Here is a 20,567-nt window from a genome sequence, read left to right as displayed (position 1 = left end):
TCAGCTACTCAGGAGCCTGAGGCGGGAGAATCACTTGAACCCAGGAGGCAGAGGTTGCAGTGAGCCGATAGCACGCCACTGCACTCCAGCCTGGGCAACAGAGCGAGACTCCATCTCAAAAAAAAAAGAAAAAGAAAAAAAAAAGAAATTTAAAATGTAGACGGCCAATAAATACCATTCCATATTATAAAGACCAATATAAACACTGATGAATGAAGGGGAAATACCAAAACAAATGGCTGTCATTTACTATATATCCGCTAAAACTAATTACCAAGTGCTTTATATGTGTTTAACTCAGTTAATTTTGCCATCATGAAAACTTCATCATCATCTCCATTTCACTAATTTTAAAAAATCAGAAAACTAAGGCTTTAATATTTTCAAATACTTTGTCAAAAGTCACACATCAAAACTGTAGTAGTTAAATCTTAATCTAGATTTTTTTGTAACTCCATAGCCACAGGTTTTCAATGATGCTATAATACCCAGCAGTAGGCAGTTTATAACACAGGCATGTGGCATGACCACAGTATCACTCCAGGAAAACAAATGGCCTGATGCCTTGTTAAAGAAGAATACTTCTCCAAATTTGTCACATCTATCCAATTTTGATACTATGCTCTATAATGGCATATAATAAATGTTACTGGCATATTCAGTATTTCTAAGAGAATTAATTGTGTTATTATTCTTTATAGCATTGTAGACCCTTGGCTTTAGTGGATTTAACATTCAAGAATTTGACTCCAGGTAATCTGAAGGTCAATAATGCAGAGTAACCACTACTTTTACAAGACATACTTTCCATTTCAAAATGATACAAGGTTTAAGAGTAGAAGCAAGCTAACTATGCTAGTAGGGCAGAGCTGACTATCTTAGACTTGCAACTCTATATTGTTATATCATTTTCTACCTATTCTATGGATAGCTATTACAATTATCTATCTGTTCTAAACATTACTTGTGACTAAAAATTTTGTTTCTTTGATGATTAAGGTTAGTTCATGGTTAATGTCATACATGTTATCACAATAAGTACATAATTATTTTTCTGGCACCATTAATTTTAATAGTCTTATAAGGTAGATTATACAATATAGCACATCATGGAAAAAATGTTCTCATGGTATCAGTAAGTTTGGAAATTTAGAAAGATCTTGGGAATCTCTTCAATAATGACAAGATTCTATAGCAGTTCACGTTCTCCAGGTCACCATCCCTGCCTCCCTGCCCATTTAACTCAATAATTAATCCATGGCTTAAACGTGGCCAGATTTTAATGATAATAGTATATTCTTATTCTGAAGTCCAACTTGGTCTATGTAAGCAGCTGGCAATTCAACTATGAAGATTTTTTTTTAGAGTATTTTTCTCGCTGAGCAGCAAACGGTGTTGGAGTAACACCTCCCTGGTGAAAACAAAATGGGACTAAAAATTTAACAGGTGACGACTAGTCAAAATTCTATGCCATTATTTCATGTAACACTAAGAAAGAATTTATGTAAAAGTAAACTATGACACCATGCTCTTTTTATTTATTTATTTTTGAGACGGGGTCTCATTCTGTTGCCCAGGCTGGAGTTCAGTGGCACGATCACAGCTCACTGCAGCCTCAACCTCCTGGGCTCAAGCAATCCTCCCACCTCAGCCTCCCAAGTAGCTAAGACCACAGGTGTGCGCCACCATGCTTGGCTAATTTTTAAATTTTTTATACAGACAGGGTTTCGCTACGTTGCCTAGGCTGGTCTCAAACTCATGGGCTCAAGCAATCCTTGATCTTAAAACTGATGAAATATAGTATATCAAACTAGTCTCCTTGGGGAATTTTTATTTATTCCAATAAAGTACATTTATTACAATAATATTTATACAAAAAACAAAATTCTTAAATGAGCAGTCTTCTGGTGATATACCACTACTACTCGAAACACTTAAATTTTTTATATTTTGGAAATGTCAACGATCCATGATGCATTTAATATATTTACCCAAGAGTCATTGTAGAAGACTAAGATTTAATTTGGGGAACAATAACCATTAGTTTTAAGTAGTAAAACCTGGTGAAGAGGACAGGCAATCAAGCTAAAAGTAATAAAAAGATAAGACAGTATACTAAAGAGACTAATTTTTAAATATCTGTATGGTGATTTTGTGATTGATTTAGAAGAAGAGATTTCAATAATTATTATATCAATTGGAAACTAACAGTCATGAGAATTTATTTTGACTAATGGAGTGGTCAAAAAGGTCAAAAAGGAATTTTGAGAGAATACATGTGTCAACATAAAGGTTGTTTTTTTGTTGGTTTTTTTTTTTTTTTTGAGACAGTCTTGCTCTGTTGCCCAGGCTGGAGTGCAGTGGCACGATCTTGGCTCACACAGCCTCTGCCTCCTGGGTTCAGACTATTCTCCAGCCTCAGCCTCCTGAGTAGCTGGGACTACAGGTGTGAGCCACCACACCTGGCTAATTTTTTTGTATTTTTAGTAGAGACAGGGTTTCACCTGTATTTTTAGTTGGCCAGGCAGATCTTGAACTCCTGGCCTCAAGTGGTCTGCCCACCTTGGCATTCCAAAGTGCTGGGATTACAGGCATGAACCACTGTGCCTGGCCTACACAGTGTTTAACAATGGGAAAAAAAAAAAAAAGAATGCCAAATATATCAAAAGTATGAATATTAAGTTCAGGAAGTTCTGAGAGTTCTGCTTTGGCAATGATTTTCTGGGTTGTTTCATACCAAATTTTCCTCTGGTTACAATTTAAAAAACCAGATAAAATACATTTTTAAAAATTTTTGTAAGCAAGCAGAGACCTAACAAGATAGTGAGAGTTTGGTGTTGGGGAAGAGAGGTTTCCAAGATTCAAAAGAAGAGGGAAGCAAGATATATGAGCCTAGCATTTGAAGCTCTTCCCCTCAAGATGACTGCTGATTTCCAAATCAAAAGCTGTGACTGAGACCCTGAACAGCAAAGCCACCCAAAGTCTCATGATGACAGAGAGGAAAATGGATGTTCAGGGACCGTTAAGGATGAGAGGTGCTGATAAATACCTCAGGACTTTTGATGATTCATACCCAAAGGGGTGGATATCAGGAGAAAGGGCAAACTGGAAATACCCCAGGCCTCATGTGGACCACATCCTGACTGGATTATGGCGATCTACTTGAAAAAGTAAAGTCCCTTTCTCCAAAAATAACTTTATCCACAGCCTTAAATTATTGCTATAGTTCTTTTTCTACACTATCCATCACTCAATTAAGAAAAACAAAAACAGTCCGGGCGCAGTGGCTCATGCCTGTAATCCCAGCACTTTGGGAGGCCGAGGCGGGCGGATCACAAGGTCAGGAAATCGAGACCATCCTGGCTAACATGGTAAAACCCCATATCTACTAAAAATACAAAAAAATTAGCCGGGCATGGTGGCGGGCACCCAGCTACTCGGGAGGCTGAGGCAGGAGAATGATGTGAACCTGGGAGGCAGAGTTTGCAGTGAGGTGAGATGACGCCACTGCACTCTAGCCTGGGCAACACAGTGACGCTTCATCTCAAAAAAAAAAAGAAAAAAAAAAGGACAAATTAGCCTTACAAACAAACCTGATAACCAAGACAGAACAAAAGATAGATAATAAAAATGAGTGAGATATTTGTTACCATCAGAAAATTTTAATTGCAATTCACATATTCAAGAAATTAGGTGGGGCACAGTGGCTCATGTCTGTAATCCCAGCACTTTGGGAGGCTGAGGCAGGGGATCACTTGAGGTCAGCAATTTGAGACCAGCCTGGCCAACAAAGCAAGACCTTGTCTCTACAAAAATAAAAATTAAAAAATTAGCTGGGTGTGGTGGTATTTGCCTGTAGTCCCAGCTACTGAGGAAGCTGAGGCAAGAGGATTACTTGAGCCAGGAATTGGAGTCTGCAGTGAGCTATGACTGTGCCACTACACTCCAGCCTGGGCAACCAAGAGAGACCCTGTCTCAAAAAAAAAAAAAAAAAAAAAATTAAATGACAAGATATAATTATTGTTCAAATTATGAGGTATAACAGTACTGTGGTGTGTATATATATATATATATATATATATATATATGGTTTTTTGGGGTTTTTTTTGAGATGGAGTCTTGCTCTGTCACCCAGGCTGGAGTGCAGTGGTGCGATCTCGGCTCAATGCAAGCTCCGCCTCGTGGGTTCACACCATTCTCCTGCCTCAGCCTCCCCAGCAGCTGGGACTAAAGGCACCCGCCACCACATCTGGCTAATTTTTTTTGTATTTTTAGTAGAGACGGGGTTTCACTATGTTAGCCAGGATGGTCTCGATCTCCTGACCTCGTGATCTGCCCACCTCAGCCTCCCAAAGTGCTGGGATTACAGGCGTGAGCCACCGTGCCCGGCCCTGTGGTTATATTTTTAAAAGAATCCTTAGCTTTTGAGAGATACACTGTAATACTTTTCTACTATAAAAAACGTTGTTTTAAAGGAGTGAAGATTAAAAAAATGTATCAGATTTATTACTTACTCTCAAGGATGTAGTCTAGCAATTATAGCTGCTAGACATCATTGTAAACAAGCCTTTAAAAATCACTTCCTAGAGCCACTTAGATCACTTACCACAACAATATAGAAAGTAATTGTGGAGATTACAACTACATCCTTACAGAATGGTAGGAAAAAAACCCAAATGTCAAGTGATTTATAGGCAGATATTTGTAATTGGGCTATAATCCCGTGGTAGTGTCAAAGATCTAAAAGTAGTGAATCTTAAACAGTTCGGATGTAAATAAAAATTTGTTCTCCACAGCGCCAGATGACTCAAAAAAAACAGCCTTAGAAAAGACAAACACTGATGGTGAAGATGCATTTGAAGAGAGTAAAAAGTTTCATGAAATGTGAGTACAAGAAAGCAGTATTTAGAGATTGATTATTTCTACAGTACATGATTTTAAGTCTGTTACTAAATTAATAAATTACTATACAGATAAAACACAAATTCTACAAATGAAAAAATACAGCAACTAAAATTAAGAACCTAACAACAGATGAGCACAGCTGAACAGAGAATCTGCAAACTGGAAAATAGGGCCAAAGGAAATCACCAGATTGAAACACAGAAAGCAAGAGAGATAGTAAATATAGAAAACAGTGTAAAAGATAAATGAGATATATCTCTAACCATATAATTAGAGTCCCATAAGATGAGAGAGACAATGTGGCCAAAGTAGAGATACTGGCTGATATTTTTTCAAAACAGAAAAAACAAAAACCAAAAACAGACATCAAGCCATAGATTCAGGAGCAGTATAATCCCCATGTGGAATAAATACAAAGAAAACCACGCATATGTCCGCCATAGTCAAACTGTTAAAAACCTAAGACAATGCTATATCATCAAAAAGAAAACAAAAGTCAGAAAACAGTAAAATGATATCTTCAAAATGCTCAAGTATTTACCAACTTTTACGTCTATGCAGAGTGAAAATATCCTTCAAAATGAAGGCAAAATAAATTACCAAGAGAATTCATTAGACCTACACTTAAATAAAGGAATTCTTCTGGTAGAAGGAAAATGATCCTAGGTAGAAGCACTTGCAGGAAGAATAGTGATAAATAAATTAAAGTGTAGGTAAATCTGAATAATTTTTGTAAAATATAACAATAATGTATTTTGAGTTTAAAATACATAGAAAATTAAAATTCACAACAATAGTGCAAACAGTGTGAGGGCATTACAGTGGAGTTATAAAGTACCTGTTTCCCATAATTGGTATAAGCAATAATTAATATCAGACTTTGATCACCCATAGATGCATGCTGTAATCTCTAGGGAAACCATTAGAACAATGGTGTAAGAATGTATAACTAATAAGCTAGTGGAGGGAAAATAATATACATATCAATTCATGTGATTATTAATACCTCTGTAAGTGTATATGCTTCTTCAGCCGTGCACTCTGCCTGTGCTGTAGGATTACTTAATGCAAATATTACAGGCCTTTCATTGATAGAGGCCATGGCTCTGATTACATCAGGAGTGAAAAGACGGCCAGCACCTGCAACTCCTGTAATAAGTAAGGGGGAAAAACAGCAACTTCATTATAGGTATAAAAGCAATGCTTATCAATAGCATTTCTACAATAGGCCTACAATAATAAAAACACAGGTAATATCTCATTACAAAGATAGCACTATCTCAGCAATGCAAAATCTATGAGAACACAATCTCAAATCTGAAAAGAAAAAACAGTAAGATGCTGAAAGTTCTCACTTAAATATTTATTGTCTACTATACACATAGTAAATTATGGGAAATTTTATTCTTTTAACTTTTTGTTTTTTGAGACAGAGTCTCGCTCTGTCGCCCAGACTGGAGTGTAGTGGCACAATCTCAGCTCACTGCAACCTCTCCCTCCTGGGTTCAAGTGATTCTCGTGCCTCACCTTCCCAGGTAGCTGGGATTAAAGGTGTGTGCCACCACGCCCGGCTAATTTTTGTATTTTTAGTAGAGATGGGGTTTTGCCATGTTGGCCAGGCTAGTCTCAAACTCCTGACCTCAGGTGATCCGCCTGCCTCGGCCTCCCAGAGTGCTGGAATTACAGGTGTGAGCCACCATGCCCAACCAATTTTTAAAAAGAGTATATGACTATCTTCATCACTCTAATTGGGAAGATAAAACTTGCTACCACATGGATGAAACTTGACATTATGCTAAATAAAATTAGCCAGTCACAAAGAGAAAAATACCATGTCATTCCATTTATATGAGGTAGTTAAATTCATAGAGACAAAAAGTAGAATGGTGGTTGTTAGGGGGTGGGGAGTGGGGAAAATGGGGGGTTGTTTATTTTTATTTATTTATTTTTTGAGATGGAGTCTCACCCGCCGAGGCAGGTGGATCACCTGAGGTCAGGAGTTCAAGACCAGCCTGGTCAACATGGTGAAACCCCATCTCTACTAAAATTACAAAAATTAGCTGGGCGTGGTGGCGGGTACCTGTAATCCCAGCTACTTGGGAGGCTGGGGCAAGAGAATTGCTTGAACCCGGGAGGTGGAAGTTGCAGTGAGCCAACTCCAGCTTGAGTGACAGAGTGAGACTCTGTCTCAAAAAAAAAAACAAAAAACAAGAAAACAAAAAAACTTACAGCTATACAGCAAATTAAATAGCTCCTCTTTTAAACACTTTTACATTTTCTGCTGAGAATGTAATGCCATGATGACATAGTCTGATGGCATCTATGCAATGCCTGATTCAAAACACACTCAAAGTTTTCAGCTTTGTTGCCCACGAAAACTTTGAGTCTGCATAGAATTTTCCTGGTAAAATCTGCAAATGGCTTTGGTTTTTTTCATGTTTTGAGTCCAACAGTCATACCAACTCTAAAAGCAAATCATGATCGACTACACAGTGTCTAGGACCTAAAAGTATAAAGCAACATCTGGTAACTGAATTTCATGCATGGTAACCAAAAAGTTATCACAGAAAACATTGTACATGCTGAAAGCTAGGTAAAACTGCCAATTCATTTTTAGTAATCCTACATGGTAATGATGACTGGCAACATACAGTTAGGGAGTAAAATTATTTATCAGAAAAACTTTACCTACCAATTATAGTTGAAGGCTTCAGTATATTCACTGCATCTTCAAAAGTATCAGGTATGCTCTCTGGGGCTGAGTGAGTAAATGGTTCCTGATAACTATCTATTTTTGCTTTCCGTCCCTAAATTTTGAGATAAAATACAGTATTTTTTTAGTCAATGCATATTAAAGATGAAATAAAAAGACATCATTATGAGTTACACATTGTTTCTACAATAGAAATGTCTTTTCATTTTCATTTACTTTCCTCTTCAACCCATACCTTCCAACTCTATCTTCATCATGTCCATAAACTCAAATATAAAACAAAAATCAAATCTACCATTATTCCTAGAAACTTTCTAGTTCCTCTCAAAAATGCATTTACACTATGAGGTCTTCCTAAGTCCAATGTGGCACAAAAGCCTACAGTCCTTTATCTGGGGTAGATGAGTTTTGGAATTAAGAAATTTTCATATTTAATTTAATTTGATTTATTTATTTTGAAATGGGGTATCACTCTGTCGCCCAGACTTGAGTGCAGTGGCAGCCTCTACCTCCCCGGGCTCAGGTGATCCTCCCACCTCAGCCTCCAGAGTAGCTGGAACTATGGGCACACACCACCATGCCCGGATGATTTTTTTGTAGAGATGGGGTTTTGCCATCTTGCCCAGGCTGGTCTCAAACTCCTGGGCTCAAGTGATCCGTCCACCTCAGCTTCCCAAAGTGGGAAGCTGAGCCACCACATGCATGAGCCACCACTCCTGGCTGAGAATTTTTCATATTTTAGAAATACAATATGGCGTATATCAAATATTACATATTCTCCCTCCCAACAGATACTCCACAACTGAACAAACTTATGAATAGTCACATCAAGTACAAAAGGTTAAGATTACAAAGAGCTTCTTATTAGTTTGAGTCAGGTTTCGCTTCTAGGTAAATTCAAGGCAATCAGATTGGTCACAAAAATAAATTTTGGAAAAAATTTTGGAATTTCAAAGCCTTTAGGATTTCAGAATTGCAGACAGACACCATGGACTTGCACTACCAAGAGTTCAGAAACAAGAGGAACAGGGAATTCTGGTTAAAGATGGCTGAATGAAGAAACATGCTTTCCTTTCCAAATCCCAGGTCAAAAACCATAAAAGTTAAATTTGTAGTAATGCCACAAAGCCAGAAGAGATACCACTGACAGACTAGAACAATGAAGAATTTCTCAAAGATTTAAGGCAGACAAAAACATACTGAATGCAAAAACCAACTGAGAACTCATATTCTTATTTTGGTAAAAAAGAAGACTTCTGAAAAAGTGTATTTCCATCAGAACTCCAAGATAACTCCAGATAAGAAACTGCAGGGGTTAGTAAAGCAGGACACTATCATCAATCGGCTGAGAAAACCAGGCTGAGCAAACAGTGACATAAGAAGCCACTGTTTTCAAAGTTTCAAAATGAAGGGCAGTGTTTAGGATCACCAGGAGACACTGGAAGCCTAATGCCCATAGGCCAAGCTACCTGCACACTGGAAAAGAAATATATAATCTGATGATGAATATGGAGATGGACAGGGTTCTCACTTTGTGCTAAGTAAACACATTGTAGCTACCAATACTGTGTTAGACCTGACCTACCAATATGCTAAAGAATCACAACATATTTGATGAAAACCAACATTACAAAAAGAAGTACCAAACTAACTGTGTACTAGTCAAAACATACATCCCCCAATAGCCTTCTAAATATGTGATGTTTTATCCTTGTGCCTTACATACTAGTAAATATGGTAGTTACAGCCTCTTTGGGAGGCAGCACAGTTTAATTATTCAGAGCACAGGCTTCGCAGTCAGGATACTTGGTTTTGAATCCTACCTCCGTCACTTATAAGCTGATGACTTTGGAAAACTCCCTCGACCTTTTAAACTGTTTCTTCATTTGTAAAACTTCACAGGATTTTTTGAGATGATTAAAGGAGATAATACATGTAAAGTCTTATAACAATGTCTGGTATATAACTACTATTACATTTTAAATTACATGTAGTTTGAGCACTCAAGATTTTTCATTCACATACTTTAACTTTTCATTTTATTTTTTGTACTAATAGAATACTGGTTCTAATTAACAAGAAAAGATTTTAGAACTGGAACAAAGTACATTTAGATAGCTTGCTCCACAGACATAAATGCCAAGCGACAGCTATACCATTATATTTTAATGTGTACATACAAAAATATAACAGCATTGTGTACTGGATTGGTTTAACTATGGAACAGTTTACTTATATTCAATGTGTTACACAGAAGATATATGACATTCTTAAGCTAGTGAAAATGGTAATCAATGCTAACAAAGGTAGTCAGGCCCAAAGGTACTAAGTTAATCTGGGAGATAAGCTCTTTATTATCCATAAATTGGTTTCAGGAGCACATGCTTTTTTCCTGGGGATAGGGTCCACAGATTTTTATTAGATTTCTTCAGGGGATTATGATCTCCAAAGGGTTAAGAATTTCTGCTCACGGCCAGGCACGGTAGCCTCGGGAGGCTCAGGCAGGAGAATTGCTTGAACCCAGGAGGCAGAAGTTGCAGCGAGGTGACATCGCACCACTGCACTCCAGCCTGGGTGACAGAGAGAGACTTCATCTCAAAAAAAATAAATAATAATAAAATTAAAAGAATTTCTGCTCAAATATCAAAACTACTGCAATACTGCAATTTAATTAGGAAGTTCTCAGTTCCTACTAAAAACCTAGTTTTAGGAGTGTCAAACACGATCATACTTGTACAATGGCCATTTGATCTCTTAAGAGCAAGACAACAAAGCAAGAAAGAGTAAGTCTGATGCCAACATAGAGATTATTAATTCAATATGAAGCAGAAGTCTTTGTAAAAGACAACAAGACTAGGGACATCTGTTGAAAAGAGAGTGGAAGGTCCCAATTGGTATAATTTGGAGACTCCAATGAGAAACAAGATTTTAAGGAATAATATTTTAAAAATCCAACTAAAAATATAATACACTCTTTTGCTTCTCCAAATTTTAAATACCTTACCTTAACTAATAAACCATACTTGTCAAACATCCAGATTTTCTTTTGTGCCTCTTGTTCTGACAGGCCATTTTCTACCATAGACATAACTATAAGATTTGCAATTCCAAGAGCAGCCTGTTCAACAAAACATAAATTTTAATATATACTAGAGTACGATGCAATGCTTGAATTACTTTATATATGAAGATTATATGCCATAAGAAATATTTGGTTTATTTTTCCCTTACAAATCAAACAAAAATTCTTCGTGATATTCTCTCGAAACATATTTTAAATTACATGTTTTACAGCAGAACTCTTGATTTCATATCCTCTACCTCAACAAAATTACAGGCTCACTATGCTCTTTCATAAACATCAATATTCTGCCCATTTTCTAATTCTATAAGAGAGGATAGGCTTAAGTTTCAAAAAGCCTTCAAAACTTACCTCTCCTGCTCCAAGGAATAAGATTTTGTGTTCGGAGATTGGTTTACTAATAACTTTTTGTGCTGCAAGAAGACCTGCTAGAGCTACTGCAGCTGTCCCTGTAAGAAAAACAAAGATTTTTACAAATAAAAAATGGGCACATTAAAAATGTTTAAAAAGTAGGAATCAAAACCCTGAAGTTTTTTTGCTTTACCTTGAATATCATCATTGAAAGTACAATATTTTTCTCGGTACTTTCTCAAGAACCTGAATGCATTATGATTTCCAAAGTCTTCGAACTGAATGAGTGTGTTCCGGCCATATCTAAAAACAGCAAAACCCACAATAGTTGTGTTGAAAATAACACTATTAAACAGCTTTCCACCTAATATTCCCTATGATAGCATTCAAAAATAATGTATTATGTTAGTTCAATTAAGGCCATCTGAAAAATTTCAGAGCCTGTGAAAGACTAGATCCAAAATGTAGAAATTATTCAATAAAAAAAGTATGAGGTGTTTAAAAAGAATGTGGCACAATGATAAACCCATGGGCTATCAATCTATGTAAACTATTTTCAAGTGTCCAGGAGGACACTTCCTTTGACTCTGAACCTCAAAAAATATATATTTGATATGTATATTCTCATTACATTAATAGTTAAACAGCAACACAAGAAAGTATATATTAAATAAGAAATTGAAAAATAATTGCTATTTGAGTTCACTGACATTCAGAAAAAGAAGATGTTAATCGTCTAGGTGAGCTCAAGTAGTAAGGGAAGGCTTGAAAAGGAGGTGGGCCCTGAAAGAACAAAAAGTAAAGAGCTAGGAAGAAAAGCAGGCTGTTATTAGGGTGACCCTGAATTTTCAACAGTCTGGCTATATATTTCATGGTTTACATTAAGAGATAAGGGAGAAATTGGTTAATGCAGGTTGGAACCAAATAAGGGAGGATCTCGAATGCTAAATTAGAGAAGAGGGACTTTCTTCTGCATCCCATGTAGAAACAGTGAAGGCTGCAGAGAAAGGAAAATATTCACATATGACTCCCTTTAGGAAGGATAAACCTGCCAGTGATACGTAGCTCATATTGGTGTGGGGAGACGGGAGTGGCAGAAGCAACTAGGAGGCTACTATGATACGAAGACAAGAGATCTGAAGCAGAAGATGCAGGAAGCAAAAGGAGTAACTATGAACTATTAGGATGAATAGAAATTGATAAGGATCAACTGGGAAATGAGGAAGAAGCTGTTACAATGTGAAGGTAATGGGGTAACTAAGAAGGTACTATTTGGTTGTCCAAGATAGGAAAGTGAGAGGAAGAAGGAGAGATGGCAATTTCTGAGAAGATGTAAAGTTCAGCTTTAGACTTGTTGACTTTGACTCTGAAAAGGAATTAATGTTTAAATATCTTCTACGTGCCAGCAATTTTAAAGGTAGGCCAGGGTTAGATCATTAAGGTAAAAGAGTTTGACTTTATCCTATGGCAATAGGAAACCAATCAGAGATTTCAAGCAAAAGAATGACAAAATGAAGCACACGTTTCAAAACAATTAATCTGGTATTAAGGTGGAGACGAACTGGAGAGGAGAGAAACTGGAGGAAGAATTAGAAAACTCCAGAAGAGAGATAAGGAGAGAGCAAGATTGCGGCAATGGAAAACAGGAGACATTTAAGTGGTAGTACCCACTGAATTTGAGGAATATCTGAAATCTGACTGACGGAGAAGGCAGAAGAGTCAAAGATAACACTAAGATCAAAGTTTTGGCAACAGGATGAATGTTACTGCCAATAATAGAAGCTGGGAATACAGAAGATAGGTTGTTTGGAAAGGAAAGGAGTTCAGTGTGGGATATGAATATGCACTCATAACAGAATACCCAGATGGAAGATTCTGATTATTAGAAATGCAGGCCTCACAAGAGCAGTGGAACTACAGATGGGTTTTTATGGGTTTAGTAGTAACATGCATAAAGGTCATAGTTGACATGGCTGAAAGAGAAGAGGACTAGGTAGTTATCCACATTTAGTAAGAGACAGCAAGAACCTGTGAAGATGACAAAAAAAAAAAAAAAGAGAAAGGTGGGAGAAAGACCAAGTTAGGAGGAAGCTGTTTAGCAGTCAAGAGAAGAGAGAGTTTCAAGGACATAGAAGTGGGAAAACCTGAGTTGACGGTGCAAAGAGGTAGAGAAGTGGGAGGACCCAATGGTCAGAGAACTTAAAATACAAAAGCTGCACAAGAGCTTCAGTGGAATGGTGGGCGTGAGCCTGAAGGTCAAGGCTGAAAAAGGTACTGAGCAGTAAGCGTTTGATGGAAGCAGTGAGGGCAGACTTCCCTCAAAATGTCAGGTAACTCAAGAAAGCAAGGCAGACCATGGGTACCACCTCATATCGGCACATCTAATCAGGCAGAAACAGCCAGGCAGAACAAAGTTCTCAAAAATTTAATCGCCTCCTGCTTATCTACACAGGAAAGAAATAAAGGAAAACAAAACAAAACTTTGGTTCTTACCCCACCCACCCCATTAAAGGTGCTTTCATATACTCAAACTTTTAAAAAATACCTGTCAGTAATAGCTTTCATAAACTCATCAATCAGGTCATCATACTGTTGTGTGCGATCTCGTTTCTGGTACAAGCCCATGTAAAATGGGTCTTTTAAGAGTGCCTACAAAATAAACCAAATGTAAAAATAAAATAATTTATATAATCAGTTTAAACACATACAATAAAAATTGCAAAATAAAAAATTACTAATACAATTTTTTAAATGTATTGCCCTACAAGAAACTTTATTTTTTCTTTTTTGAGACAGTCTCACTCTTGTCACCCAGGCTGGAGTGCAATGGTGTGATCTCGGCTCACTGCAACCTCTGTCTTTTGCATTCAAGCAATTCTCTTGCCTCAGCCTTGTAGCTGGGATTACAAGCATGTGCCACCACGCCCAGCTAATTTTTTTTGTATTTTTAGTAGAGTCTGGGTTTCACCATGTTGGCCAGGCTGGTCTCGAACTCCTGACTTTTGGTGATCTGCCTGCCTCGGCCTTCCAATGTCCTGGGATTACAGGTATGAGCCACCATGCCCGGACCAAGAAACTTTTAATAGACTTAATTTACTATTATTTATATAAATATTAAAAGTGGAGTTTAAGAAAAAAAAATCTAATCATAAAACTTTCCCTTCTTAAATTATCATTTTCAAAAAAGGAATATTGTACACATTTTAAAAAATACAGGAGGAAGATAAAGGGGGAAAATGATGTTACTCACGATATTATCAGTTCCCACATCAATACACACTGGCAGGCATCTATCAGGCCGTATTCCTGCACAAGCTGTATACAAACAAAGTTTTCCTACTGGAATTCCCATTCCATAGACACCCAGATCTCCAAGACCCAGAATTCTCTCTCCATCAGTCACTACAACAGCCTTAATCACAAAAAAATGCAAATTAAAAGTTGTCAAAAATGGGGCACTAAAGAAAAGCATTTTTTAAAAGATTGATTCACTTCATATATATTTACTCTTTGCTCTTAAAAATAAAATTGTTTCTTGGCTAATTTCCAATGTAAACCAACAAAGCATACTTAAAATTCTAGGACTTCTGAGTATTATGAGACATTAACTAGATTTGATTTCCCTCTGACTTCGGTTTAGGAATAGAATTCTTCTGACTAGAGGACCAACTTAAATATCTTCAGAAAGATTAAATATGGCAGAGATGAACAAGATTCTGATGGAGAGATTACCATAAGAGAAAAATAAGAGTTTAGAAATAAACAGCATGGTACTCCAACACAATAACCTAGGCCAAACAAAAAAAACCTTAGCAACTGTGAAAAAGAAAAAGGTCTAGAACAAAAAAAATACCTACTTATAAGGAAGGTCTTAAGATGATACTGTGAGTTTAATTATTTGACCAAATTTTTGCTAGAGTATTCAAACCAACGATCATTCAATGTTTATTTTGGAAAGGAGTATAAAGGCAGGTAAGATTATTGCCTACAATAAAATTTACAAAAGCCTACCCAAAGATCTTGAAATAAGTTATTACATTTTATTTTATGAAAGATAACTAAATAGGCCAGGGCTTATATTTGCTATATTTAACATTTTTATATTTGCTAAGGTTCTAAATCTTAGATTTAAAAGAAAAAAAGGCATAACCAAACTTCTCTAACACCATTCATAAACAAAAGTTTTTATGGCATTTTAATGTATTTTCTTTACCTAGAATAATATTAGTGAAATAGAAAAGGAGATTGAGAAGGCAGGAGACACCAGTGGTGCTGATACCGAGAGGGCTCACCTTGTATTCTAGCTCTAATTTCTTTCTCAGAGTCAAACTTTATACCAGTAGCCCATTTTATAACTACTACTATTATCATCACTTCAGCTGCAAAGCACTAAATCTGCATGTATATAAGTGCAAAATAAATGAGAGCAACAATGAAAAACTGTTCTTGGAGATTTAGAGGTAATTTACAAGAAAAGAGAAAACATTGTGAAAAGGAGGGTTGTGCTATTAGTACCTTAACATGATTTTCTGGCCAGTTATCCACAATTGATCTAACATGACCTCTGTCTGAGATCGAAATAAATAATCCCCTGCAACAGAACAAAAACACCTTTGCATTTCACAACAGCTTTGTTTCTAAGTTTTTGTTCATAATTGAAATATTTTGATATTTTAATAAAATATCAAGACATGGTATAATTTCCAAGCAGATTTAGCTAAGTCACACTGGTTTATTTTCAAACATTTTCAAGTACTTCAAACTGTAATTACTGTTCATAGCAGATGCAACAAAGATTATTGTTAAATGATACAGTCATTTTACCCAAGAAGAAATGTAACCACATCTCATGTTCAAATAAACTCAATACACCACCAGGAAAAAAAAAAAAAATCTAAAGCAAGCCACCAATGCAGGAGAGCAGTACAAGGCCAACTAAACTATTGTTAAGACTTACTGAAACTGAAAATTTGAAATTTGAAGGAGCAGGAAGGGAGAGAAGAAAATTACAGTAAAATCACACAAAAGATGAGACACCTGAAGCATCAGGAAAAAGTGAAGTTACTTTTACTTATTTAATATTATTTTTTAATTGGCAAAAATTGGATATACAGTTGACCCTTGAACAATGTGGGTGTTAGAAAATCAAATCAAAAATTTACATATGATTTTCCAAAAACTTAACTACTAATGGCCTATTACTGACCAGAAGCCTTACCAGTAACACACAGATTGACTAACAATTTTTTTTCTTTTTTGACTTGGAGTTTTGCTCTTTCACCCATGCTGCAGTGAAGTGGTACGATCTCGGCTCGCTGCAACCTCTGCCCCTCCACCGAGGGTTCAAGCAATTCTCCTGCCTCAGCCTCCAGAGTAGATGGGATTTTACATGCCCGCCACCATGCCTGGCTAGTTTTTGTATTTTTAGTAGAGATAGGGTTTCGCCATGTTGGCCAGGCTGGTCTCGAACTCCTGACCTCAAGTGATCCACCCGCTTCAGCCTCCCAAAGTGTTAGGATTAAAGGTATGAGTCACTGTGCCTGGCTGACTAACACTATTTTGTATGCCATATGAATTCTATACTGTATTCTTACAATAAAGTAATCTAGAAAAAAGAAAATGTTATTAACAAAATCATAAAGAGGAGGAGGAGGAGGAGGAGGAGGAGGGGTTGGTCTTCCTGTCTCAGGGGTGGCAGAAGCACAGGAAAATCTGAGTATAAATGGACCTTCACACCTGTGTTGTTCAAGGGTCAACTGTATTTATCATGTACAACATGTTTTGAAATATGTATAAATTGTGGAATGGCTAACAAAAAGTCATTTTAGACACAGTATATTGTTACCTAATTCAGATAATCAATCCAGATTTCAAAAGAGAAAGCAAAGAAGGAAGGGAGAGAAGGAGGAAAAAAAGAAGAAACGCAGGTTCTAGAACACAGGTCAGGCAGACATGAGGGCCAGTGGATCCTCATTGCTGTCAAACTGATCTTAGGTTTAACTTTCTCATTGGTATCTTAAATTTGGCACTACTATTACAGTTCAAATCAGTTTAGTTCAGCAATTTCTCAATCTGGCTATATAATGGAATCATCTGATAAGCTTTAAAATGCCAGGGTCCCACCTCCAAAGATTCTGATTTAATTAGCTTAAAGTTTAGATCAATCAACCAACCAATCAAGATTTAATGACCATCTACAAAAACAAAATGAACAACAAAAAAAACCCATAGCACAATGCATTGCATAAACAATATACAGTATTTGCCCTCACACATAAGCCATGCTCTTCATGTTTCAAGTCAGTTCTCAACTCTGGGTATACATCAGAATTACACCAGGCTCTTTTGTGAAACTCCTAAGTCTAGACTAACTGAATCTGAATCTCTGGGGGTGGGGCTCAGGCATCAGTATTTCTAAGTTTCTCTCTATCTTTTAATCATTCTAATAAGAAACTATAAAATAGCTGAACAGCATGGTTATGTCACAGAAATGTTTTAGTTACAGTAATTGTTGGCAGCATCTAGGTTAGAACAGTCTGTTTCTCAGTGTCTTCCAGGGAACACCTGCAACACAATCACTGAGGGTGCTCACTAAAATCCGGACCTCCAGACCTTTTTTCTTTTTCATCAGAAATCTTGGGGATGGGGAGGAGAGGAAAGTTGGCAGAGATCAACATTTTGAGTAAGTCCCACAGGTATTTCTTACACACATTAAAGTTTGAAAGCCACTAGACAAGGCGACAGGAGACTGAATTTCTACACGTGGAAGAATGTGTTAATTGGGCATGGGGAAAATATTATAAGGATTGAGAAAAATAATAATGGATTAGAGGAATAAGAAAACTCAGATTAAGTGAAAACAGCATATGTGTGTGTGTGTGTGTGTGTGTGTGTGTGTATAATATTGCTGATAATTTTCCAAAGAACTGTCACATTGGTTTCTCCAATAGCTCTTTGATAGGTCCTGCTATTCCCATTTTACACATGAGGAAACACATTCATGGGGATCACGCGACTCATTCAAGAACTTGAGTCAGTCCTTGCCATTTCAGTACTCTTCCCACTTATAATGTTTGTAGGTGCTACAACTATTTGGAATGAAAATTCATTAAAAAAAGGAGAACAGGCCAGATGCAGTGGCTCACGCCTGTAAATCCCAGCACTTTGGGAGGCTGAGGCAGGCTGATCACTTGGAGTCAGGAGTTCAAGACCAGCCCAGCCAACATGGTGAAATCCCATCTCTACTAAAAATACAAAAATTAGCAGGCATGGTGGCGTGCACCTGTAATTCCAGCTACTAGGGAGGTTGAGGCACAAGAATTACTTGAACCTGGGAGGCAGAGGTTGCAGTGAGCCAAGATCATACTGCTGCACTCCACTCCAGCCTGGGTGACAAAGTGAGACTCTGTCTCAAAAACAAAAACAAATTAAAACTGATTAAAAAATGAGAAAAAAAAATCTCTTAATTTGACTTTATTGACAAAAATTTTAATGATAATTCTGGATAATCTCCCACCAGAATTAAGACTTTTTTTGGTGGGGGAGCAGGTTCCAGAAGTATGTATGTAATTCCTCTAACAATCACAATAATTTAAAGAAGATTAGAAATGAATTATGCTATTTTTACAAAGATAAAAGTTATGAATATGTTGGGATTTTGTTAATCTCTTTTAATCAAAATTACGTTTTTCTGAGGTGGGAAATGTGATTTGGCTAACAAACATAAAATAGAAATGTAATGGGTGTTATGGAATGATATTTTCCTTATTCAATAATCATTTACAAGCTTTTTTTTAAACAAGCCTTACTTAGGTCTTCTAAAGATGTGTCCATACTGGGAGCAGGCAAGACCAACCGTCGGTGTATATACAATTGGCATTAAACTCTCAATGTCATCTTGCAGTATTCTATAAAACAATTTCTCATTTCTTTCTTGTATTCCCATTATGTAGATATATCTGAAATGAAGCACAGTAAATAATGTCTAAGTCAGCCTGCATTACATTAAAAGTCTTGGCTTATGAAAGTTAAACCTAAATGTCTAAAATTGAAATTGAGCCCCATTCTCACATCACATTCTAAAAAAAACCCAAAACCTTAGATTATTACTATTTAACACCCAGGACTAAAAATTAACAAAAATATGAGGGTACTTAAATAGTAGATGATGATGACGATGAAATAACAATAGAAACAATGTTTACTGAACCCTAACTGTGGGTCAGGCTCTGTAGAAGGCACTGGAAATGCAAAGATCACCATGAGGTCCTTACGCTTAAAGAATCAGTCTTCAAGGAGACTGACATATAAACAAGGAAGCAAAATAAAGTGGCATTAATTCAAACATTTGCTTAACACTATATGCCTGGCACTATTCTCCAGGGATATAAGAAGTTACCTCTATTTTCAAGGAGTTTATAACCCAGGAGCGTTAGAAGTATTATAAGGTCTACACAGAGTGCAGAAGCAGCACAAAAAAGGCAATTGTCAATTGATGTCAATAAATATATAAATAACTTGTTTTTAAATTTAGAGAACAGGGAAATATCAGCTTGAAAGCTTGAAAGTCAGTAATCATCTTGAATTAAATATGTCTAAAGCAGACTTATCTTTCCCCTGACCTTGTTTCTTCTGCTATCACGTGACCAAATGCGAAACCCAGATTCCATTCTTGATTTATTCCTCTCCTACCCTCCCCAACACCAATCCTATAAATCACCAAGTCCTACAGAGTCTACCTGCTAAGTAGCTTTCAAATATATCCATTAGCTCCCTCCACCCTTGCACAGTACAAGCTACCATCATTTCTCAGCTGATTTACCTCAAAAGCCTTCTTACCAGTCTTTATAAATACAATTTCCTCCTACGCTCCAATTCATTCTTCTCTTAAAAACCTAACTGTGATCATTTCTGTTCTCCTTAAGTCGCTTCCAAATAAATCATCGTAAAATAAGGCTCAAGCTCCTAAAATAGTTAACAAAACCTCTGCCTACTTTTCAGCCTCATCTTCTTCATGTTGACTTACTTCAGCTCCTCAAATGCATCACAACTCAACCTGGACTTGCTGCGTTTGATGCACCATTTGCCTGCACTCTCTCCAGGTATAGTCCTATACATGTGCGCTCCAAATGCAGCTCAGGTGGCGTGCTCTCTGGGGGCCCTTTTCTGTCCACTCCCCTCCCCTATCATGTATACATACACGCTTTAGACTTTCCTGTTTTCAGGTCCCATGATAGCCTACTTCCCTCTGTTAACTCTCACTCCACTCCTTGACTTTCTGGCTTCCTCCAGTCTAGACAATACCATAAGTTAGAAATGATCACCTCATATACTTCTATAGTTCCAGGAACTATTAATAGCAATATGTGGCATATAACTGGTGTGCAAATATTTGGTGAATAAATGAGGAGACGTGATCCCTTCAATTTTATTTTCTACATAGCTAATAGTGGAAGAAATGGTATCAACAGATAGAAATTAAAGGGAAGAAGACTTCTCTGCAGTATAGGGAAGTAA

At 36.9% G+C, this 20,567-nt stretch overlaps 1 protein-coding gene across 3 annotated transcripts in view; it reads right to left on the bottom strand.

The window, feature by feature from the left end:
- ME2 (malic enzyme 2) overlaps positions 1 to 20,567 on the bottom strand; it is a 75,140-nt gene that overhangs the window by 22,448 nt on the left and 32,125 nt on the right. For all 3 annotated transcript variants that reach the window (NR_174094.1, NM_002396.5, NM_001168335.2), the window contains exons 4-12: positions 18,860 to 19,009; positions 15,567 to 15,642; positions 14,302 to 14,463; positions 13,597 to 13,700; positions 11,245 to 11,354; positions 11,052 to 11,149; positions 10,623 to 10,736; positions 7,598 to 7,712; positions 5,912 to 6,054 (exon numbers count right to left, since the gene is read on the bottom strand). Coding sequence is in view for 2 of the 3 variants with exons in the window: in NM_002396.5 (NP_002387.1) it covers positions 5,912 to 6,054; positions 7,598 to 7,712; positions 10,623 to 10,736; positions 11,052 to 11,149; positions 11,245 to 11,354; positions 13,597 to 13,700; positions 14,302 to 14,463; positions 15,567 to 15,642; positions 18,860 to 19,009 (1,072 nt within the window). In the remaining variant the exon portion in view is untranslated. The remainder of the gene's footprint in view (positions 1 to 5,911; positions 6,055 to 7,597; positions 7,713 to 10,622; positions 10,737 to 11,051; positions 11,150 to 11,244; positions 11,355 to 13,596; positions 13,701 to 14,301; positions 14,464 to 15,566; positions 15,643 to 18,859; positions 19,010 to 20,567) is intronic.

This window comes from Homo sapiens, chromosome 18, assembly GCF_000001405.40.
Source record: "Homo sapiens chromosome 18, GRCh38.p14 Primary Assembly".
Lineage (NCBI taxonomy): Eukaryota > Metazoa > Chordata > Mammalia > Primates > Hominidae > Homo > Homo sapiens.
Note: the sequence above shows the minus strand (reverse complement) of the source record. Positions and strands in the feature narration are given on the sequence as shown.